We start from the raw sequence: 24,903 nt of genomic DNA on the forward strand, positions 1-24,903 counted from the left end.
GGAATATTTAATATTATGGCTTCATATTTATTTTAATTCTTCAGTTTAAAAATAGGAAATAAAGTAGCTCATCTCCCCAGTTTCAGAGTTTCAAACATAACGGATCAAAGAACTCTGTCAACTCCAAGAACCACAGAAGTATTTTAACATGTCACTGTAAACAGACTAAAAGATGTGCTTATGAATAGCCTTTGGAAATCCAAGTTGTTTTTAAGTAAAGTAGCCACTGTATTCACCTACAGTCACTACACTGTGGTGACCCCAGAATTTAGAAATAGGGTATCATCTGGGAGAAATGTAGCAAACAGCACCTTCAGCTCAGCCTAACTAACGGGCTAAGTTATCTGGAGAAAGAAGTCTGAGGGCAGCTGGGAACATCTGGGAACTACTCAAGTTCAAACAAGGTAAGTGTAATATGCAACACCAGGGAGGGTGGCATGGCCAAATCACCGTGACTGACTGGAATGCAGAGTGGAAGCCTGAGACTTTTATGACCTGTCTGGGGAAAAGTATGCACAAGATCTAGAAAAACGGGGATGCAGGAAGAAAGAATCTACCAGTGTCCTCAGCACTGTCCTGAGTGAAGGGTGTTTTTACAAGCAGATGCACATATGGGGATGATCAAAGCCAGAAATGAACAAGCTGCCCCAGGGGAAAGCAAGCGAACGGGAAGGGCAGAGGGCAGTGTTAGAGGCACAGGCAAAGAGGAGATGACCACCTCACACACACTATAGCGACTAAAATAAAAAAAAGATGTACCATTAAGTGTTGGTGAGGGTGTGGAGAAATGTGAACCTTAATACATGACTTCATCCTGAATATCCCACATTACTGGTGGGAATGGAAAATGATGTAGCAACTTTGGAAAATAATATGGCGGTTCCTCAAGAGCTTAAAATTACTACACAATCCAGCAATTCTGCTTCTAGATATAAACCCAAGAGAAATGAAAACATATGTCCATACAAAAATCAGTACACGAATGTTCACAGGAGCATAATTTATAATAGCCAAAAGGTACAAACAATCCAAATGTCCATCAACTGACAAATGGATACATAAAATATGTTACAGGTATATTTACAGTCGCAACACTTTTGGAGGCCAAGGCGGGCAGATCACTTGAGGTCAGGAATTCGAGGCCAGTCTAGCCAACATGGTGAAACCCTGTCTCTACCAAAAATATAAAAAATTAACCGGGCCTGGTAGTGCGCGCCTGTAATCCCAGCTACTCAGGAGGCCGAGGAAGGAGAATCGCTTGAACCTGGGAGGCGGGGGTTGCTGTGAGCCGAGATCACACCACTGCACTCTAGCCTGGGTAACAGAGTGAAACTCCATCTCAAAAGAAATAAATAAATAAAAGTAAAATAAAATGTTATATTCATACAACAGAATATTATCTAGCCACTTAAAGGAATGAAGTACATATGCTACAACCTGAGTGTGAACCTTAAAAACATGCTAAGTGGGCCAGGTGCGGTGGCTCACGCCTGTAATCCCAGCACTTTGGGAGGCCTAGGCAGGCAAATCACCTGAGGTCAGGAGTTCGAGACCAGCCTGGCCAACATGGTGAAACCCTGTCTCTACTAAAATTATAAAAATTAGCCGGGCATGGTGGCAGGCACCTGTAATCCCAGCTACTCGGGAGGCTGAAGCAGAAGATCGTGCCACTGCGTTTCAGCCAGAGAGACAGAGCAAGACTCCATCTGTGAGAGAGAGAGAGAGAGAGAGAGAGAGAGAGAGAGAGAGAGAGAGAGAGAGAGAGAACGGACCAGACACAGAGGGCTATATATTGTATGATTCCATTTATACGAAATGTCTAGAATAGGCAAATCCACAGAGACAAAATAGATTAGTGGCTGCCTAGGGCTGGGGAGCTTGAGGGGAAGATGGGGAGGGAGTGGAGAGTGTAATGTGGAATGAAGGAAACAGATCTAACATGTTTCAGGCTGGGAATATCTATGGCTCTTCCTACATTGGCCTGGCACATTGAGCTCTCAGGGGAGAAAGTGGGGGCTGCACAGGTCACCCATCCTTCCTTCTTCAGTACAGGTTTTAGTGGCCCCTACTCCCTAGGAAATAAAGACTTTCCTTTCTCCTCCCTCCCCAAACACCCATGTGGCTTCCCAGGGTGCCTAAATCTGAATCTTCCTCAAACACAGACGTTACACCTTGACTTAGCGTTTGGGTTGGGAGGCTTTACTTTCTTGCCCACTTTTGTTCCCTTTGCATTCTACATTCTAAAATGGACTTTCTTTTTGAGACAGAGTGTCACTCTGTCGCCAGGCTGGAGTGCAGTGCCGGGATCTCGGCTCACTGCAGCCTCCACCTCCTGGATTCAAGCGATTCTCCTGCCTCAACCTCCTGAGTAGCTGGGACTACAGGTGCACACCACCACACCCAGCTAATTTTTGTATTTTTAGTAGAGATGGGGTTTCACCATGTTGGTTAGGATGGTCTGGATCTCTTGACCTTGTGATCCGCCCGCCTCAGCCTCCCAAAGTGCTGACATTACAGGCATGAGCCACCACACCCGGCCTCTAAAATGGATTTTTAATCCCCCAGGTATCAAATCTCATGAGTGTGTACCTGCTTAAATTATACAGTTAATAACAAGAATGACCTGCAAAATAAATAGCCCTTATGTTTTGAGATGGGGAAATGCTCCAAGAGAAGACAGAATCATGCCTTATTCAACCAGCACAGTCAAGCTTTCTCTGAGCCAAAGTTCTCCTGGGAAAGAGGAGTTTCCCTAAAGAAAAGAAGCAGGACAAAGTCTGGCCCAGCATCCCTTGCAGTCCCCTCTTACTCAAACTTAAACACAGGCCACATTCTGCAACCAAGGCAAAAACTGGAAATAACTGACAAGGGAGCTGCCCTTGCGCTCCTAACCCACATACCAAAGACCCACGCGACTCTGGCAGAACGCTGGGTAGGAGGCACTTACACACTCCCATCCGGGCCGTTACAAGCATGCAGTTCTTTCTCCTCTTCCAGTCACAGTCTCAGGCACTTCCACGGCCAACAAAGAGGGGGTAAGGACTCCAGCAGGAGCCCAGTGTGCGTCCCTACAAGGGGACCTTTCAACACCCGCCCGCAAGCACCCCCTGAGGATGAGGTCAGCCTCTCTTCTGTAGGCCACGAAACAAGCTGACTTTGTGGCCAGATGGCCAGCTCCCTTGTGAGGCCCTAAAGCTGGAAAAGGATTGGTTTCACCCACAGGGATCTCATTCCCTACGCAGGACACCCAGCCAAACCATTTGTAAATAGGTACATTCAGGGGACAGGCATAGAAACATTTACAAGAGCCTCTGTGAGGGACATCAGGGTTGCCTTCCCTCTCTTCCTCCCTCTCTCTGTTCTCTGACTGTAAGTCACCCTGTGCCCACTGCCACCACTACCTCTAGGCTCACCTCCCAAAATATCTCCCTCTGTTTCCATGATATAGCCTCCTGCTCTAGAATCTGTAATGGCTTCCCACTTGCCACAGACCACATTCAAACACTTCACCTTGGCACTACAATTCCTGCAAGATGTGGTCATTTCACCTCGCCTCACCTCTTGGTCCTTCTCCACCTGCCTCTCCCTCCTCTCTAGTCACACAGCCTCGTAGCTAAGAACATATTCAGACCAGATTCAAATCCTAACCCCACCATTTAATAGCTGGAGACCTTGGGTGAGGTACTTAAATGGCTCGATGTTTCAGTTTCCCCATCTGTAGGGCAGGGGTAATGCTAGTACCTACTGTTCAGGTGAGTACAGTGCTGATGAAGTAAGAAAATACAGGGAAAGTGCTCAGAATAAAACCTGACACATGGTATCACTCAATAATTAGCTATTGAAATAGTTATTATTACTCATACAAGTCACTTATTTCACGAAGCCTTTCCTAGCAACACCAGTGGAACATCTTCTGTTTCTCAAATGATCCGTTAACAGTCAGAAAGCATAAATACTGACTGGAATTGCTAGAACTGCTTCATGGGGCAGGTTACTTGGATGGTAATCAGGTGTGAATATTATCATTATGAAATTCACGTCCTAAAACACATACCAATGGCTCCCAAATTATCTCTCCCTCTAACGTCTCAATAAATTCACCACTGTGGGATACTATCTATTTGTTTAGTAATAGATTTTGTTTTTTGGATGCAGGGCTTAATTCTATTAAAGAATAGCAACTTATTAAGAGCAGGGATCACACTACAACCAGTGCACAGCAGAGTTCCCACCACAGTACCACAGTGGATCATCAAGCCACCTTAATGGATTTAGAAATTCAAGCTTGTTGAATTTACAAAGAGTAAATTTAAGTAATTTACTGTATTACTTAAAAAAACACAAGTAGTACATGGGAGATTAAGTGGACGCTCAGAATAAGAGTTAAAATCTACGCTTTCAGATAGAAAAACTAGCCAGCATGGTGGCTCACGCCTGTAGTCCCAACTACTCAGAAGGCTGAGGCAGGAGGATCGATTGAGCCTGGGAGGTCAAGGCTGCAGAGAGCCATGATTGTGCCACTGCACTCTAGCTTGGGCAACAGAGCGAGACTCGTAATTTCTGCCTTGTTTTAGGCCTTAGAAGACTTTATAACTTTGGCTGGGCACAGTGGCTCACGCCTGTAATCCCAGCACTTTGGGAGGCTGAGGCAGGCGGATCACGAGGTCAGGAGATCGAGACCATCCTGGCTAACATGGTGAAACCCCGTCTCTACTAAAAAATACAAAAAAAAAAAAAATTAGCCAGGCGTGGTGGCAGGCGCCTGTAGTCCCAGCTACTCGGGAGGCTGAGGCAGGAGAATGGCGTGAACCCAGGAGGCAGAGCTTGCAGTGAGCCGAGATCGCACCACTGCGCTCCAGCCTGGGCGACAGAGCAAGACTCCATCTCAAAAAAACAAAAGAAAAGAAAAGAAAAAAAAGACTTCATCACTTCTCTTCTGAATTATAAGCTCCATTTCTCGCAAGTGTGAACACCCCACGGCTAGCACTACAGTGTCTTACTGAAGAAAGAGCCAATGTTTCAAGCAGTCAGAGGGGAACCCAAATTTCACTGTAGTATCCACCATATCCAAGACCATACAACCAGAATTATAAAAGCACTATGCAACAGAAAGCTTCAGAAGGCCTATTTTAATGAATAAGAATATACAAAGTGCTGTTAAGAAAATGGTTGTTTTGAAATACTTGAGTGTATTTAAAATAGCCCTAGTTTCAGGCCAGGCATGGTGGCTCACGCATGTAATCCCAGCACTTTGGGAGGCTGAGGCGGGCAGATCACTTGAGGTCAGGAGTTCCAGACCAGCCCAGCCAACATGGTGAAACCCTATCTCTACTAAAGAAAGATACGAAAATTTAGCCAGGCATGGTGGCACGCGCCTGTAATCCCAACTACTCGGGAGGCTGAGGTGGGAGAATTGCTTGAACCTGGGAGGCGGAGGCTGCAGTGGGCTGAGATCGCGCCATTGCACTCCAGCCTGGGCAACAGAGCAAGACTCCATCCACCACCCCCCCACAAAAAAATCATCAATCAATAAAAAAAATAAAATAGCCCTAGTTTCAGCACAGGTTGGGGCAAACGTTTGCTCAGGTGTTGCCCCGGGCAATGTCATCCCTACTGTGGGCAGCTCCATCAGAGCCTGCTCCGGACTTCCCTCCACCTCCTCACTTGTTCAGCTGGGAAGATGCAGTACGGAGTGGTCGGTTTGTAAGGGGAAATGGCATTTGGATAGCAAGGCTTTCTTCTCCCTCTATCTCTAGGATAAGAGCTGCCCCAAGGGAACACGCCTGCTGCTCTCTCTTCCTGGCAAACTGCGCCCTTGCAAAGAAGTCTGCCCTTCCCGGGCACTGATGGTGCCCTGCTGGGTGAGTCTGAGTCATTTGGGGGTTCAGTAAAAGCCTGCTTCCCTGAAGATATGAACCACAGAGCCTCACATCAGTTTTATGAGGAATAAAGGTGATGTTTGGCAACCTGCTGACATCTTAGTCTTTTTTGTCAATTCGCTTAGAACCTAGGAGACAAAGTGTTATTTCTTGGGCTCTCTCAAAATCCCCACCACAGTCCCCTGTGATCCAGGAGGACTACTATGGGGGAAAAAAGGAAATTCAAGAAAAAGAGGTCCCACATGTATCTCCATCAGCATCACACACCAGGCCTACTTCTGTATACGCTGACCAAAGAACGGCCAAAAATCCACCCCTCACCCATGAAGACACCACTCACCCTACAAGTAACCTGTCCAGAAAGGTGGGAAATGCCCCATAGCCCATTCTCCATTATTTGTGAGAATATCAGCTTTATTATACTTCCTATGTAGGCCAAATTAAGTGTTTCAGCTGCTATTTGAAATCCTGGCAGGCGGCCAGGCACAGTGGCTCACGCCTGTAATCCCAGCACTTTTGGGAGGCCAAGGCGGGTAGATCACTTGAGGTCAGGAGTTCAAGACCAGCCTGGCCAACATGGTGAAACCCTGCCTCTACTAAAAATACAAAAATTAGCTGGCCGTGGTGGGGGGCACCTGTAATCCCAGCTACTAGGGAGGCTGAGGCAGAAGAATCGCTTGAACCTGGGAGGTGGAGGTTGCAGTGAGCCGAGATCATGCCATTGCACTCTAGCCTGGGTAACAAGAGCAAAACTCTGTCTCGAAAAAAAAGAAGAAAGAAATCCTGGCAGCCATCCTATGACAAGGGAAAAGGACAGAAGGGTACAAGAAAAGATAGTATATTTCATCAGGAACAGCTATAAACAATGCTAAGATAAAATACACAATCGTCTGACATAAACAGACGATTGTGATGGACAATGATGTGTCCATGATGTGTCCAATGATGGACAATGATAGACAATGGAGACTCAGGGGCTGTGGGGCTGGGAAGGGGGTGGATGATGAGAGGTTGCCTGGTGGGTACAACGTGTGTTATTCCCGGGATGGATGCACCGAAGGCCCTGACTTCACCACAAGGTAATATATCAACATAGCAAAATTGCACTTGTACCCCATTAATCTACACAAATGTTTTAAAATTTAAAAATTAAAACAAGAATTCTCCACCAAAAGCATCAGATAGAATCTACACTACTACTAAAGATCAAGCTGTTGATTGGTTTTCCTGTTTAGCCAGAAGGCATTGGATCCTGGAAAGCATAGAGCAGGCTTCAGGAAGGTTCAAGGAAACCAGGTATACCCCAAAACACATGGGGGTACATGGACCCCATCTTCTAAATCATGTTTTTCCCACACACCCTCATCAAACATCGGAAATAGGACGAGCTGAACACGGACAAACTTACGTGCTCTTTCATCTTGTGAGCCACGGTTGTTGACATCATGATGCAGCAGAGGACGACGACCAGAATGAAGTAGAGGGCGTACATGAAGCGGGTGCTGAGGGACTGCCGAATCCTGGGGCAGCAATCACAGCAGAGAGAGCAGCCTGCAGACCCACAGCAGCAGGCCAGCTAGAAAAGGAACAGAAGGCATCTGCTTAGAGCATGATACTGTGATAGAATAAGAAACATGGCCAGGCACTGTGGTACACATCTGGAGTCCCTGCTACTCGGGGGGCTGGAGGATCACTTGAGACTAGGATCGCTTGAGACCAGAGTTCAAGTTTAGCCTGGTCAACACAGCAAGAACCTGTCTCTAAATAAATATATATACACATATATATATATATGTGTATATATATTTATATATATTGAGACAGTCTATATCTAATGTATATTTTATATATACATATATACATACACACATGCACATATACACACACACACACATATATATATTTTTAATAAGGCCCAGTGCAGTGATTCACACCTTTAATCCCAGAGCTGTGGGAGATCAAGGTAAGAAGATTGCTTGAACCCAGGAGTTTGAGATCAGCCTGGGCAACACAGCAAGACCCCATCTCTTACAAAAAATTTTTTCTTTAATTAGCCAGGCATGGTGGCACAAACCTGTAGTCCCAGCTACTTGGGAGGCTATCTCCATGAAAAACATGACCAGGAAAAAAGAAAACAATCATATTAGGTTGGTGCAAAAGTAATTGTGGTTTTTGCCATTACTCTACATATATATATACAAAAATTTGGTCTGGTGCAAGGGCTTCTAAAACTTCTGGAATTTCCTGAGTGACAGAGGTTAACAGGAGAGTATTTCGTTACTAATGCTCTTTTCAGTCATACCAGAGCTTGTACTAATGAGGCAACTCTTCCTGGGTCCCTAGATAGCTTCAGGATGGAAGGCTGGCTATCAGTGGAACCAACCATGTGGTTTAGAGGGTCGGAACTTTCAGGAGCACACACCTGGGCAGGGACTGAAGACTGAGCTAATTACCAATAGCCCATGATTTAATCAGCCGCATGTACATAATAGTGCCTCCATAAAAACCCTAATCAATGGGATTCAGAGCTTCCAGTTTGGTGAACGCATCCATGTGCCTGGAGGGTGGTGCACCCAAACTCCAAGGGAACGATGCTCTGGCGCTCGGGACCCTTCCGGACAGTGCCCTGTGTACCTCTTCATCTGGCTGTTCATTTGTCTCCTTTATAATAAACTGGTAATCGCCAGTAAAGAGTTTTGGTGAGTTCTGTGATCCATTCTAGCCCATTATTGAACCTAAAGAGGGGATGCTGGGAACCCCTGATTCATAGCTGGTCAGTCAGAAGTATGGAAGGCCTAGATTTGCAATTGGCATCTGAAATGAGAAAAGTCTTGTGGAACCCAGCCCTTAACCTGTGAGGTCTGTGCGAACTCTAGGTAGTTAGTGTCAGAATTGAATTAAATTGTGGGATGCCCAGTTGGTGTCCTGTACTGAGTCACACCACTTTACCAACGTATTCACCCAGGTCTTCTGTAGGTCGACCTTCCAAGCTACAAGATGAACATTCTTCCCAGGTACCTTGACCATAGGACATGCAGGAACAGTTCGGTGTGTGAACAAAGCTTTCATCGGAATTGTTCTGGTGCTATCTTTAATGACAACCATCAATGGTTTGGGAGATGCCCAATTATTACACAGAAAAGGCACAGTTCATCTGAAGTATTATAATCGTGACTCTCAGACAAAAAGATTTCTACAATCAGCTAAGAGCAAGAGAAGAAGCCAAGAACTAGTAAACAAAGTGGGAAGAACATGAAAAACAAAAAGTTGGGCCCAAGAAAGTGAGGGAGAAGAAAAGGAAAAATCAGTTAGGCAGACAGTTAAGGCTAGTCCTCAGAGAAACAGACTGAAAAATCACAGCTACACATACAAATAAGAGTTGCCTGGGGAAAAACAAAACTGCAGCTGCACTGATAAGAAAGCAGGGCCCAGCATAGAAGCCTTTTGTTCTTTGTGTGATTAGCAGGCTCCCAGGGAAAAGTTTCCTCTCCTTCTCAGGCACATACACGGTGGGCTCCGTGGGAACTTGCACAGGGAGTGGGGAGGTGCTGGGGGAGGCTTACCTAAAACACAGTTACACAAATGAGGAGCTGCACTTTGTGTTTACCCAACACATGCCCGTGTCTGCACTGATAAGGAGAGTTACACAGACAGCTGCACAGATAAGGGAACTTAGGCAAACAGCTACAGAGATGAGGGGAGTTTCTCATAAAAGCTTTCAGACTCAACTGTAAAAACAGCGACTCACTCAGGTCCTCCTTTCCATTGCACAGAGCTTTCTTCGTTCACTCCAACTTCACCCTTGTGTTCATATTAATCCTTACTTTTCTTGGTCGTGAGACAACGGACTTGGATAACACCTCGGACAACATGACCATCAACCCTAGACGGTTTCAAAAGGAACCTGTCAAAATCCATGAGCCTAAGGATGAATGTACAAGCACCCAGGGTGCTGGGATGGGAAAGGCCTGCAGCCATACACCCTTGTAGGAAATAATGAGAGTATGTAACTTGAAGCTCAAAAGAAATGGGTGCCTTTTACACTGCATTTCTACCAGAGTTTCATGTCCCAAATGGTAAGCTTTTTGGGTTAATGAGTAGGACGTGGGCCCAGAGGAGCACAGAGCTCCTGCTATACCACTAACAGCATACACATCTTTTCTTTGGGATCTTTAATAAACCATAAGGTAATAGAGGATGGTGATTAAAAGCTCAGGCTCAAAGCTTGGCTGGGTTTGTGGCCTGGCTTTGCCACCTACTAGCTGTGAACTACAAGCAAGTTATTTATCCTTTAAAAACTCAAGACTTGGCCAGGCACGGTGGCTCACACCTGTAATCCCAGCACTTTAGGAGGCCAAGGCAGGCGGATCGTGAGGTCAGGAGATCAAGACCATGACCATCCTGGCCAACATGGTGAAACCTCGTCTCTACTAAATACAAAACAAAACAAAACAAAACAAAACAAAAAACAAAATATTAGCCGGGTGTGGTGGTGCACAAAAAAAAAAAAAAAAAAAACCTCAAGACTTCTCGTTTATAAAGTGGGGGTGGCAGAAGTACTACATGGTGTCTTGGATAACCTAATCAGACACAACTGGCACCAGAAAGGAGTCCCTGTTAAGCCAACAGGGCAATGCTACAAGAAATTACCATAAACTGCAGATTACAATAAAATCTGTATGTATTAACACTATACTCTATATAAACCTAAAGCCCAACAATTCAATCTTTTGATAATGATTTGGAAGGAAGTTTGAGACTCTGCAAGGCTTCAAAACAAGCATCAATTAGAATGCTACACCATAAACATCACTTACAATGAGCTACGATCACAGGTATATGGGTAAGACAACATACCATAATGGTATGACAGATCTTGGAATCACAGTCATTTCCCTAGTTATCTCATCTACTTCATGAGACTGTCATTGTTTGAGCCCTGTGTCATTCTCTACTGTTTCATCACTACAAATTTTTCCTAACCAACTCTCTCCATCTTACGTCCGATTTTCCAAGCCAGCTTCCTCCAGATTCTTCTTGACTCACAAAACTAAGCCACTGCTTTGTAAAAGAAGACATTCTACTCGGGCTGAGATAAGAGAATACACAAGTGGTATCCTAACATTACTGCATGTGTGGGTGTTTTATGGGCCACTTTCCTTTACAATTCCTTCACTGATGTTCTCAATCTCTGATTTTACTGACCTCTTTCCACTCACATGCCCCAATTTTAAACACATACACATACAACTGTCCCCTCCCCACTGCTTTAGCTGGCTTTTCTCTGGGTCCTGCCTCCTGAACCCTTTCCTAACTGCCTCCTTCACTGATTGCTTTTTTTTTTTTTTTTTTTAAGAGACAGAGTTTCATTGTGTTACACAGACTGGCCTCAAACTCCTGGGCTCAAGTAATGCTCCTGCCTCAGCCTTAGCTGGGACTACAAGCACAGGACACCATGATACCATGCCTGGCTGGTTGCTAACTCTCTGTTACCCTGTGGTCTTAGATAACTTCTCACTATATATATATATATATTTTTTAGACGGAGTCTCACTCAGTCGCCCAGGCTGGAGTGCAGTGGCACGATCTTGGCTCACTGCAAGCTCCGCCTCCTGGGTTCACACCATTCTCCTGCCTCAGCCTCCCGAGTAGCTGGGACTACAGGCGCCCGCCACCACGCCTGGCTAATTTTTTGTATTTTTAGTAGAAATGGGGTTTCACTGTGTTAGCCAGGATGGTCTCAATCTCCTGACCTTGTAATCCGCCGTCTCGGCCTCCCATAAAGTGCTGGGATTACAGGTGTAAGCCATGGTGCCCAGCAACCTCTCACTGTATTTCAAGTTCAAATGTGATCAACAAAATACTTATTCTATTTGGGAAAATAAGTATTTTGGAAACAGTTAATGCCTCCCACAATAAAACATTCCCACAGCTGAATCAACATTTAAACTTACTATTATCTCCACAGAGGGAAAAATAAACAGATACAAACATCACTGTGAGCCTAATTGGAACTGATCATCTAAAGGCAGACAAATAGCAACAGAAGGGACATGATTGTGGAAAATGTAAAAAGAAAGCCCTATTGGTTTAACCCTATTCTGTCATTAAAGTCATATGCCATTGTATGGATCTGATTTTCCAAATTTCATTTTCACTCTTACTCTATACAGTGCTATGGTATTACAAATATACATATGTACATATATATGTGTCTATATGTATGTGTACCTATACACACACATTCCAAATATTAGAATGGACTAGCCTTTCTTACTAGCCCAAAAGTGATTTATCAAAGTAAACTATGCTAATAATTAAGGTTCGAGCACATTATCTTAAGCTACACATTGATATATATACCAGGTGGAAATTCAAAACAGCATCCGTAAAAGAAACATTTATGTTAGCATCTAGGGAAATCTCACAGCCCTGCTGACTGAACACGTGTTTCTGGAGGAGCATACCTTTGAATAAAATGGGTTCACATCCAGCCCCTGCCACCTACAGGGTTAAGACACTGAGCATGTCACTCACTTTCAAAACTGGAAAAATCAATTCCTGGCTGGAACTACTGGTGCTTTCACAAGCTTGGAGAGAAGTGCCAGGGTTTCGTTACCCCTGGCTCCAAGAGGGCATAAAGCTTTTACTGAAAAAGTTACAGCATATAAAAAACAAATAAATATAGAATATACAACGCCAAGAGGGAATGCTAATGTAAACCATGGACTTTAGGTGGTAGTGATGTGTCAAGGTAGGTTCATCGATTCTAACAAATGTACCAGTCTGGTGGGAGGAGCTGATAATGGGGGAGGCCGTGCAAGTGGGGAGGGGAGGTATATGGGAACTCTCTGTATCTTCCTCTTAATTGTGCTGTGAACCTAAAACTGCTCTAAAAAAAAAAAAAAACCTAAGCCTATTTTTTAAAAATATAAATAAATAAATGAACAAAACAGTGCCTGCCCCCCCAAACGACTCAGTAAATGGATGTTGGCTGAATAATGTATGGTGAAGTCACAGTGGCAACACTCCTCACGCACAGTGGCTGGCAATCTCCTCCATGGGAACAAGTTCACAATTGCATGCTATACTCAATTTCCCACGCAAGCACTGAATCACAGAGAATACTAAGGGTGTTAATTTGTAGATACTGCATACTCTCCTCCTCCAAGGAAGTAACATTCACACACGCAAAAGGGAGTCCAACAACATCTTCAGAGGGCAATGCTTGCAATCCTTCCAGAAACTCCTCTCACAGATACATTTCCAAAAAGACACAGAGATTTAGGTATGAGGCTGTTCATAACAAACACTAGAAACAGCCTTATTTTCCAGCTACCCAGGGACTAGTAAAATGAATTACGACCTATACAATGAAATATTTGTTAATACGTCAGGTGTGTTGGGCTAAATTGTGTCCCCCAAAATTCATATGTTGAAGTACTAAACCCTAGTACCTCAGAAAGTGACTGTATTTGCAGATAGGGCCTTTAAAAAGGTAATTAAGGTTAGACCAGGCGCGGTGGATCACGCATGTAATCCCAACTCCCAAAGCGAGTAGACTGCTTGAGGCCAGGAGTTCGAGGCCAGCCTGGCCAACCTGGCCAACATGGCAACACCCCGTCTCTACTAAAAATACAAAAATTAGCCAAGCATGGTGGCACATGCCTGCAGTCCCAGCTTCTGAGGAGTCTGAGGCACGAGAATCGCTTGAACCCGGGGGGCAGAGGTTGCAGTGAGCCGAGATCGCGCCACTGCACTCCAGCCTGGGTGACAGAGCCAGACTCTGTCTCAACGAAAAAGGTATTTAAAAGTTAAATACGACCACTGGGGTGGTCCCTAATCCAACAGGACTGCTTCTAAGAAGAGGAGGACACACACACAGGGACAGCACAACAACACGGTGGCCATGTACAAGCCAAGGAGAGAGGCCTCAGAAGAAAGTGACCCTGCACACACCTTGCTCTTGGACTTCTGGCCTTCACAAGTGAGAAGCTGAATTTCTGTTGGGTAAGCCACCCAGTCAGTGTGACTTTGTTATGGTGGCCCTAGCCAACTAACACAGGCAGTACGCCCTGCTATTTCATATCTATGTACATACACATATGTGTAGATACAAGACCACTAACACTGACTACCCGAGGAACAGGCCTAGATGTGGGGAAGAACAGGGGACATCTATGATACTTATTGTTCTGCTCTCCTGGTTGGGTTTTTACCATGTGCATGCATTACTCTTACAGTTAAAAAATGAAGAAAACTGACTACTTGAGAAAAGTAAACGGCGCGTGGTGGCTCATGCCTGTAATCCCAGCACTTTGGGAGGCACCCAGCACTGGGTAGGCGGATCATTTGAGCTCAGGATTTTCAGCCCAGCCGGGGTAACATGGCAAAACCCCATCTCTACAAAACATACAAAAATTAGCCAGGCATGGTGGTGCATGCCGGTGGTCCCAGCTACTTGGGAGGCTGAGGCAGGAGGATTGCCTCCCAAATAGCTGGGACCACGGGTCGAGGCTGCAGTGAGCAGAGATTGCACCATTGCACTCTGGTCTAGGCCACAGAGATCCTATCTCAAAAAAGAAATAAAATAAAAGCAACTAAGTTGAACGATAGTGATATAAAAGCATTTGCAAATGTGGTATTGCTGTATGTTGGGCTTTTCCCTTCTGAAGAAGCTTCCCCTCCCGCAAACATACTGCAAAGGAAAATCTTTCGAAGAGCCTGGCACATCCTCCCTCCAACCGCAGGAATGGCAAAGGCTTTTCTAAATAGGAGGTGCTTTGTCCTTGCCGGGGCAAAGAATCAAAATGAAAGGATAAGCTGACTCTTGCTTATCTTACCTGAAGCTGGGCCTCCCACTTACTGTTATTTTTCTTCTCCAATGAAGGACCAGCCCCGCAACACACACACATTCTACAAAAAATAAATATGTCTCCCTCTCTGTCCTCCGCACCAGCCTTGGGCACAGATGGTCCTTCCAAGGATTGATCTAGGTGTGTGAGGAAATGCTCACAGAAACATGAGCTAGGGCTGGTAGTAACTTCCAAGTACTACTTCTGTTAAATTAAAAAGCACAATACCTTCATTACCTAGAATTTCCAGCTGGCAACAAGAAGGCCAAACATATTACAAAATCGGCATGCACACACACACAACACATGTACCTTAATCATAAAAGGGTCTCTGTCTCCCTCTCTCACGTCTTACTTTCACAGTTCCAAAGGCCTGACTACCAGGTTCTTAAGCCACAGCAACCAAGAGGACAAACTGCTGGGGAGAACCAGAGAACCTGGACTCAACTCTAGCGAAGTGACCTGCCCTTCTGGGTCTTAGTTGTCATCACTTGTAAGTCGAAGAAGCCCAGGTAGATGACGGGTGGTAGATCAACAGGTTTCATCTCACATCCAACGGATGGGCAGCGGCTGCCTGAAACTCTGTGCTGAGGAGGATTCTTAAGGCTGAATGTCTCAGCAGGGAAAGTGCAATGATCACTGAGTACCATCTGCCACAGGCATGGAAAGAGAGCATGGTGGCATCACACCACACTCCTGTCAACCCTGCAAGAGGTAACTGGATATCCTTAGCATCCATAACTTCTTAGATGTTGAAAAACAAACTGCAACAGGCAAGCATGATGAGTTAACCCCAGAGCAAGGAGGAGAGAAAAGCAACCAAAAGGAGAAGCCAGAACTAAAAAGTGGAGCAGCGGTAAGCTCTTCAAGCACACGTGAGACAAAATGGCAAATGTAAGAAGCCACGTTTGCTTTTCTGCTGCCTGCAGAATTTTACAAAATCCCTTACCAGCAGGATTCCACAAAGCCCCTGACTCTGACCGAGTGCAGCCCTCCAGAAGAATGCCCTGAAGATGATCAGCAGCACACAGCACAGGTTCCCGAGTCTCTTGCCTGAATCAGGTTAAGTTCAATGACCCTAACCCTTGCCTCTTTCTGTACATGTCTGACAGGATTAATGACTATGCCTCTATCATCTATAACCACATGAACTCCTGTGCCCAAACCTTGATGAGATCTTGCTCTAATCTAACTTCGAGCACATCTGTTGTAACTTCTGAGCACTGGAAGAGCCGCCATCACCTGTCTATAAACTGCGGGCTGAAACTCTGCCTTGGAGCAGTCTAACAGAAACTCTCTGAAAAGACTAACAGGTTGCAAGCTTCAGCAAGACTTCTGAATAAACTAAGTTGATGTGAAAGCCTGATTTTTCTTTAGCTTACACACAGGTCATGTAAGCATCACTCTATTGCTGCATGGTCTACGTTCTGCATGGTAACAGCTCACACACGGCAGTGTGATCACTCATATTCACGACAATGGCCCAGGCAGCACATATGTTCTGTTACCTTCATTCCACTTAGGAATGAAAGAAGTATCCTAAGCAAATAAGTGCTTAGAACAGTTCTGTCACAAGAATGATCCCAAATGTGGGTCACAGTTTTTAGCTTCAGTGCTTGAGTTTTGGGGAGTATGAACCCCTCGGCCATATGGAAACCAACTATTCTGAAGGACTTGCTCCTCAACGGGGCTGGACAGCCAAGTTGGCTTTCATGTGTCTAAACTAAGTCCAAACCGTAAAAGGAAGTGTGACACCACCCTTCATTCAGTCCCTTTTCCTAATTCTGGAAATACAGGAGACCTACCAAAGCTAAGGAAAGACATCAAGTTTTCTGTGAGCTACAAAAATTATAATACTGTTCCTTAATAAACGGCAGTGGGATGGGGCACAGTGGGGAAGTTCCTCAAATACTGAAGCTGACCAAGCTGTTAGAACTCAGGTGTTCCTGAGCATGCTGGGAGGTTATAGTACCAAGGTAATAGAAGACATCCATTAAAAACATAAAACTGGGTTCAAAGTTTTTTATTCAAGTAAACAACACTGCATCTTTTAACTACAGAGTTCCACACCTTTCAGTAATACATAATACTGCCCATGCCGTGTGAGGGCCTCCTTCCCTTCCTTCTCTTTTGAAGCTTTAGGGTTACCTTTGAGTCAACTGTGGTCTGCAGAAGAAATGAACACTTCTCTACTTTGGAGAGCAACATTCATTGAAATTCTGGACCCAACAACCAACATTGTGTGGCTTAATCTTCCCATCTCAAGCTCAGAAATAGCTTCCACTGAGCTTAGACAGACCTTTCTTCCCACTACAAAAGGGCAGTGGTGGGGTGGGGGGGGGGTGTTGGTAAACCCTCCCTCTTGGCACCACAGTGCCAGGTACTGTCCTTTATTGATAGCTATGCAATGGCATGGTGCAACTTAAAAGCTAGAAGAACGAGCACAAAAATTCCTCTGCTCAATAAAGGAGTGTTTTACTGAACAAACAGTGTAACTGCAGGTAGTTCCTAACTCACAAATGGTTGTATTCTAGAAAACTCAACACATACACATGTGGTTTATCTGGGGCTTACAGTGGCTTTCCCCCATACAAAAGAATACATGGCAACCCATGAAAGCTTACTGAATCAGCCAGGCACAGTGGTTCACACCTGTAATCCCAGCACTTCGGGAGGCTGAGGCAGGTAGACCACTCAAGGTCAGGAGTTTGAGACCAGCCTGGACAACATGGTGAAACCCTGTCTCTACTAAAAATACAAAAAATTAGCTGGATGTGGTGGTGGGTGCTTGTAATCCCAGCTACTCAGGAGGCTGAGGCAGGAGAATCGCTTGAACCCAGGAGGCGGAGGTTGCAGTGAGCAGAGATCGCGCCACTGTACTCCAGCCTGGGCAACAGGGCAAGACTGCATCTCAAAGAAAGAAAAAAGAAAGCTAAAGCTTACTGAATCCATCATAATATTAGTTAGCAATAGTTAACACTTATTAATCTCTTACTTTCTGCAAGGCACAACAATTATTATTACCTGTTACAATCATCCCTATTTTACAGAGACGAGACCAAGGCTCAGAGAGGTTAAACAGCAGCTTAAGGTCACAGAGCCCGCAAGTACTAGACTTAATTTAAATGTGGTAGGCTCTTTGCCATTCTTCTCCACTTACTGCTGGCATAAGCGCATGAACAAGACAGGTAACACTGGCCTGAAACTGGCTTCAAACCTCGGTTTCCTACAGGAGGGAGACAGGCTACACTGGAAAAAGGAAGCAATTTTTCTTCCCTGCCCCTGTGTGTACAGTAAGCATTCAGCAAGTATCTGAAGAGGTCACTTCCCTTTCTGTGCCCCTTCCTGTCTCCCATGCAAACTCTGGCCTCAGTGAACATGGATGGCTTCTTCTAGTGTCTTGCCCCAAGCAGCTCAACCACCGCAATCACCAAGCTCCCTGCCTCACCAAATCCTACCCCATATTAAAAGCCCTATTTCCTAATTCTATGGAAATAACCAGGCCATTCATTCACTCACTAATATATACTATACTCTACACCTGCTATGTGCTTTGTCAATTCCTGGGAATACCGCAGTAAACAAGAGACCTTGATTCTACACTCTCTAAGCAAGAAAACAAAGATATACATAAGATGACTATCTACATGACATCTATTACACATCTAATACATGTGGTTTAAGAGAAGAAACCTAGATGTCCAATAAAAAGATTTAGATTTAAGATCAGTTAAATTACAGAAGGTTCATGTTGTAGAATATAATACACCCACTGAAATGATTATATAGGTTATACAGAAAAATTTATGGCCATGGAAAGACGTCCACACTGTATAAACTGAAAATAGTTAATATTAATAGTGTAGAGTATGATAGCATTTTGGGTAAAAATATAACAAGACATAGATCAGCACTAACAACAACAAAAAACAAACTAGAAGGATATATCAGTACATCAACAGTAGTAAACAGAGTTGTAGAATTATGAGTGACTATGCTCTTCTGTATTTTCTGAACTCTCTGCAACAAGCATACATCTTATAATTAGAAAAACATTACAGGTTTCTATTTTGGAAGAAAACAAAACATTCCTGTTCCACCTCATAGGTGGTAAGCCCTCAAATATTTGTTAAATGCATCAGACAATGAGTAAATCAAACCTACTTCAATGTGATTGGAAGAAAACAGCCAGAGTGAACTATCACCATAATTGAGGCATTAAAAAAACAAAAAAAAAACGAACAAAAAAACACCTCCTGTACTATACACTTGAAAATAGTTGGGTCAGGAGCAGTGGCTCATGCCTGTAATCCCAGCACTTTGGGAGGCCAAGGCAGGCGGATCACTTGAGGCTATGAGTTGGAGACCAGACTGACCAACATGGTGAAACTCTGTCTCTACTAAAAATACAAAAATTAGCCAGGTGTGGTGGCATGTGCCTGTAATCCCAGCTACTTGGGAGGCTGAGGCAGGAGAATTGCTTAAACCCAGGAGGCAGAGGTTGCAGTGAGCCAAGATCATGCCATTGCACTCCAGCCTGGGCAACGAGACTGAAACTCCATCTCAAAACAGTAGTTAAGATGGTAAATTTTATGTATGCATTTTTTACCCCGCAAGAAAAAAAAAATTCCTTAAGCCTTGTAAAACTTTATAGAGTTTAACTGATGTAAATAAACCAATACTTGGTAGAATTTGAAGCAATTAAAAATAAAATAAAAAAATTAAACAGCTATCGATATGGCTAGGATTTGTGTCCCCACCCAAAGCTCATGTTGAATTGTAATCCCTAATGTTGGAGATGGGGCCTGGTGGCAGATGACTGCATCATGGGGGAAGATTTCTGATGAATGGTTTACCACCATCCACTTGGTACTGTTCTCACAACAGGGAGTGTGTTCTCATGAGATCTGGTCATCTGAAGTGTGGGATATCTCCCACTCTCTCTCTCTCTTGCTCCTGCTCCTGCCATGTAAGACACCTGCTCCTCCCTTGTCTTCCGCCATGATTGGAAGCTTCCTGAGGCCTCCCCAAAAGCAGAACCTGCTATGCTTCCTGTACAGCTTGCAGAATGGTGAGCCATTTAAAGGTCTTTTCTTTATAAATTACCTAGTCTCAGGTATTTCTTTATAGTAATGCAAGAACAGATTAATACGGCTACCTAAAAGTTCAAGAAGTTAAACAGAAGCTATATATCTGCCTAGACTAGAAATATGCTCTTATAGTTCCTTTATCTGGGTTTCTTAAATTTTATTTTGAGTTCAGAGAATCCTCTAAAGCGCCAAGGCTTTCATCATCATGCCCATAACTGTGGCAGCAGTATTGTGGGGACTGTGAGAGATGAGTTTCTGGCAAGTGGTTTCTCAAACAAGTTTCAACATACTAGAGCGGTGTTATTTTCCACGTTGAACATTTCCATGAAACAAACAGTCAAGGGTCAACTTAGTATCTCCAGCCACCAGAACCAAGTCTGAAATGGGCAAGAAGAGGCTATGAACGCATACAAAGCCATCAGTCAGCTTTGGGGTTACAGTGGAGTCTGGGACAAAGATGTTCCCCTTTTTTGGAGTCTCTTTCTCAGGAGGTTAGGGCTACTTTCAGCACCAGAAGAATGTTTATCAAGTCCTCTGTTCTCAGACAGCAGTGGGATTATTTGAATCATTCCATCACAGGACCCTCTCTCTACCTTAAAATTAAAAATATCATATCACACTTGATACATTTTAGCAGGTTGGTGAGATCTATAAGGTTTGAGGTTGAGGGTAAACAACATCCCTTCTGACAGCTCAACAGAAAACAAACGTTCCTCAGGGGCAGGTCCTTCAGAGCAGCGTTTCTATCACTCGACACTATTGACTGGGGGCCAGAAAATTCTTTCTTGTCGGGGGCTGACCTGTACACTGGATGCTGATGTTCAGCAGCGCCCCTCCCTGCCTCTACCCGCTAGATGCCAGTCACAACTCCCCCTCTCCCCTGCAAGGCGTGATGATCAGAAATGTCTCCAGACAATGGCTCCCCAGTTAAGAGCCACTGAGTTAGGGGTGAAAAGCAAGAGCCATCTCCACAGTCAGACTGTGGGGTTCACCACCTTCAGTCTGAACACAGGAGAGCATGCTGGCAACTTATGTGTGTGAGAAAACTTGTTGGAAAGCTAAAGCCGTCTTTACACCTTCATTTCCACTGAGGAAAAAACAAGAGCTGTGGGAACATTCACTGGCACCCACTGAGGCAACAAATACCTGTGGCAGAACAGGGCTGAAAAGGTGAGTTAAGTAAGTTCTATTAAGAAAAAGGTATAAGAAAATGAAACCTTGAAACTCAAAACGGAGAAGTGTAGGAGACTGGGAGAAAACAAAAGTACCCATTGGGTTTTAAATATTTTTTTTTAATTAGTTTTAGGGCTGGGCACAGTGGCTCCTGCCTGTAATCCCAGCACTTTGGGAGGCCGAGGTGGGTAGATCGCTTGAGTCCAGGAGTTTGAGACCAGCCTGGGTAACATAGTGAGACACTGTCTCTACAAAAAATACAAAAATTAGCCAGGCATGGTGACACAAGCCTGTAGTCCCGGCTACTTGGAAGGCTGAGGTAGGAGGATGGATTGAGCCCAGAAGATTGAGGTTACATTGAGCTGAGATTGCATCACTGCACTTCAGCCTGGGCAACAGAGTGAGACTCTGTCTCTAAAAAAACAAATAAAATAAAATACAGTAAAAACTCGTTTCATTTATAAAGTAAGTTTGATGTTTACATTTTTATTCTTAATTTTTAATTTTAATTTTTTTATTTTGATATTTTTATTTTACAAATTTTTAATTAAAATAAGTTTATTTAAAAGTTTTATTTTTAATTTATAAAATAGTTAATTTTAAATAGTCTCAGCAAAAAAGAAGGTGGGCAGAAACCCTGCTCGTTCTACTTTATAAATAGTAGCTTATCAACCGGCAGCCAGTGAAACACTAAACCCAAAATTTGCCTCATTGTGTCATGGAGATTATGCTGCAAGGGAGAAACCTGCCAAGCCCTTTCCAAGAGGTGCTATGTGCCAGCCCAATCCCCAAACCCTGCCAAGCCACGGAGTGCTTTCTAGGCTGGTGACAGGCCCCAGTGCCAGCTAGATGCCCGTATGCTCGGGGATGGAAACAGAAAGGAGCTCATTTCACTGCTCTCAGAGAGCTGGAGTGCAGAGGACCTTAGAACTCAAGTGCACCAGAAGCTTCAAGAGTTTAGCGGCGAGTGAGCTCTTCTCCCCACCAAACGAAATTCTATGCACAATATGTAACACATATGGATGCAGTATAATACCAAAAATGCAGTTCTATATTCATACAGTATTTATTAAATGCTTACTAGTGACTGGGTACTGGTTCTAGGAGTTGGTAGTATAGTCCCTGCTCTCAGGAAACTCACATTTTAGTGGATTTTTTAATCAAACTCAGCATCCAGAAAATTCAACCTAAACAGGGCTACATCCCAAAACCTGCACTGGAAGTCCCTGATCTAGTCCAGTCCTCCTATTTTCCTGATGTGAAAACCGAGGCCCAGAAAGGTTAGGTGATTTGGCTCAAGGACAAATCTAGTGACAACCATCAGTGGAGCATCAAAAAACACATCAGTGCAAACAACTCAGCAGTCTGGAAAAGGAAGGAGCTAGTAACTCATCCTCTGGGTTCCACACTTCTGTATCTACTGTGCAATATACTAACAGACACTTGAGACAACTAAAGGAAGTCATCGTTAGTAGCTTTAAAAAACGCTCTGCTCCATCTCAAAAACAAACAAACAAACAAATGCTCTGCTGATCCTAGGAAGAAGGCAGTTTCAAGTGTCTCAGAGTCTAATACATTTTGAAAGGTTTCCCTCATGACAGTTAAAACGAAAAGCCAGCATGTGTCGCATTAACCCTGGGGTGGCCACAAAACCGGTGTTCCTGGCTGGGCGCAGTGGCTCACGCCTGTAATCCCAGCAGTTTGGGAGGCCAAGGTGGGCGGATCACCTGAGGTCGGAAGTTCTAGACGAGCCTGACCAATATGAAGAAACCCCATCTCTACTAAAAATACAAAATTAGCCAGGCATGATGGCACATGCCCGTAATCCCAGCTACATGAGAGGCTGAGGTAGGAGAATCACTTGAACCCGGGAGGCAGAGGTTGCAGTGAGCCAAGATTGCATTATTGCACTCCAGCCTGGGCAACAAGAGTGAAACTCCATGGTGGCACGTGCCTGTAATCCCAGCTACTTGGGAGGCTGAGGCAGGAGAATCACTTGAACCAGGGAGTCGGAGGTTGCAGTGAGCCGAGATCACGCCATTGCACTCCAGCCTGGTGACAGAGCAAGACTCTGTCTCAAAAAAAAAAAAAAAAGTCTGGTGCTCTTGAACAGCTACAGGCTGTGCTATGGTAATGCCCACCCCCGACTACCTCCCTTCCTGCGCTTCTGAGAAGCTGACAGCCCCGACTAAATCACCCCACGTGCAGATTCAACCACTGGCCGCTCTCCCCACAAACCACATCACAGAAAGGGCTCACTGCTCAAAAGAACACCTCTGACCCATTCCACTGCCCAGTAACAATATGTTTCTCTTTCAAGGTGGTTAGTCTAGCAACAAGGGCTCTGAACAAGGAAAAACTTGCACGCTTCACCTACCCTAGATCCCATAAAATCCTGTTCTTTAGGATTCAGTGTCCAATAAAAGATGATTATTTCAAGTCTTTCTAATATTTTTCACATAAATACATAAATTAGAAAACAAAATGTCAGACAACAGGCCTCTGGTTTGGAAAACCACAGCTGTACCTGGATAGTACCAGTGCTCAGAGGCAAGATCAGGGGAAGGGGAAAGGGAGGCATGGGCCCACACTAACCTCTCAAGACGCATGTCCCTCCTACAGGGTCGCCCTCACTCCTCTAGCCCACCCCATGTTCTGGATGCCTGGTAGTGCCATGAAAGTCCTGGTTTAACAGCTTTTTTCTTGGAGTAACAGCTGCACTGTTTTCCTACAGCTGAGAAAACACTTTTTCTCACAGTTAACTTTAGCCTTCATCATCCCTCAAACTTCAGGAAACCTTCTTTCCAGCTCTTCCCTCTTTTCACCCTTGAAATTCATCTTCTTCTTCCACTTCTAGCTTGAAGTGGAAGGAACGAATAGGTGTGTGCCTTTCCCCCAAACAAATAGCCGCTGTTCATTGCCTTTTCAAGCAAGCACTGCCAGATGCCCAGTGGGTTTTATCAGCACCCCTCCACCCACTTCTGGAGCAGGTCCTCATTCCAAGGCAAGCTGGCACAAAGCCCTAGACAGCCTTTGTGAGGATGCCTGCATTCAAGCACCAGCTGCCTCGATGGCACCAACTGGCAGAGAACTGTCATGCAATTACCCCTTCGCCCCCAGCTTGAGAAACTCCTGTTTATGTTCTTAAAATACATTTGCAAAAGGAACCAGGGCCAAATGAAGGTGCTTATACTTATTTCTTCTATCATCAACAGAAATGAAAATAACCTTACATCACCACCCGCCAACCTTTACCTTTTTGTTTTTTTTCATTCAGGGTATTGGCTACACACAACCAAGTACGGGAGTACAGAGATAGAAGCAAGTCACAGGCCAGGCGCGGTGGCTCACGCCTGTAATCCCAGCACTTTGGAGGCCGAGGCAGGTGGATCACCTGAGGTCAGGAGTTCAAGACCAGCCTGGCCAACATGGCCAAACCCCGCCTCTACTAAAAATACAAAAAACTAGCTGGGTATGGTGGCACATGCCTGTAATCCCAGCTACTCAGGAGAGCAAGGCAGGAGAATCGCTTTAACTCAGAGGCGGAGGTTGCAGTGAGCCCAGACAGCGCCACCATACTCCAGCCTGGGCGACAGAGCAAGACTCTGTCTCAATAAATAAAAATAAAAAAAAAAAAGAGAGAGAGAGATAGAAACAAGTAACTTGCTCATATTGGCAGCGGTGTTCCCTCTACTTTTTAAAATTACAAGGCAGAAGTCTTCTATCAGCCCTAGATTGTGAAGACTAGCACTCCGGCAACAAAATCATACACAATGGACCTCAATGCCAGGCTGACTGAATGAATTGTTATTGGGCTGCAAAGTAAACAGGCCAAAGGGGTAGGCTGTTCAGGAAACAGATCTTAATTACTGTTATTTGTTCAGTCAAACCTAGCATTTATTTCTC

The 24,903-nt window shown here is 44.6% G+C and overlaps 1 protein-coding gene across 8 annotated transcripts in view, besides 2 other annotated features; it reads right to left on the reverse strand.

Annotated features, from left to right (window-relative positions):
• The window catches only part of SERINC5 (serine incorporator 5), a 144,824-nt gene that overhangs the window by 84,374 nt on the left and 35,547 nt on the right, over positions 1-24,903 (reverse strand). For 6 of the 8 annotated variants that reach the window (NR_126060.2, NR_126061.2, NM_001174071.3 and 3 more), the window contains exon 2: positions 7,288-7,455. Coding sequence is in view for 6 of the 8 variants with exons in the window: in NM_001174071.3 (NP_001167542.1) it covers positions 7,288-7,455 (168 nt within the window). In the remaining 2 variants the exon portion in view is untranslated. Of the gene's footprint in view, positions 1-7,287; positions 7,456-9,608; positions 9,763-15,683; positions 16,034-24,903 lie in introns of those variants that run through there. The other 2 variants (XM_047417079.1, XM_047417080.1) reach the window with 2 other exon arrangements.
• Positions 2,380-2,944: an enhancer, noted in NCBI's record as "H3K27ac-H3K4me1 hESC enhancer chr5:79493799-79494363 (GRCh37/hg19 assembly coordinates)". NCBI's record gives its function as "activates a minimal SCP1, AML or CMV promoter by ChIP-STARR-seq in primed H9 embryonic stem cells {active_cell/tissue: H9 hESC(primed)}" and the evidence as "EXISTENCE:reporter gene assay evidence [ECO:0000049][PMID:30033119]".
• Positions 2,945-3,509: an enhancer, noted in NCBI's record as "H3K27ac-H3K4me1 hESC enhancer chr5:79494364-79494927 (GRCh37/hg19 assembly coordinates)". NCBI's record gives its function as "activates a minimal SCP1, AML or CMV promoter by ChIP-STARR-seq in primed H9 embryonic stem cells {active_cell/tissue: H9 hESC(primed)}" and the evidence as "EXISTENCE:reporter gene assay evidence [ECO:0000049][PMID:30033119]".

This window comes from Homo sapiens, chromosome 5 (genome assembly GCF_000001405.40).
Source record: "Homo sapiens chromosome 5, GRCh38.p14 Primary Assembly".
NCBI lineage: Eukaryota > Metazoa > Chordata > Mammalia > Primates > Hominidae > Homo > Homo sapiens.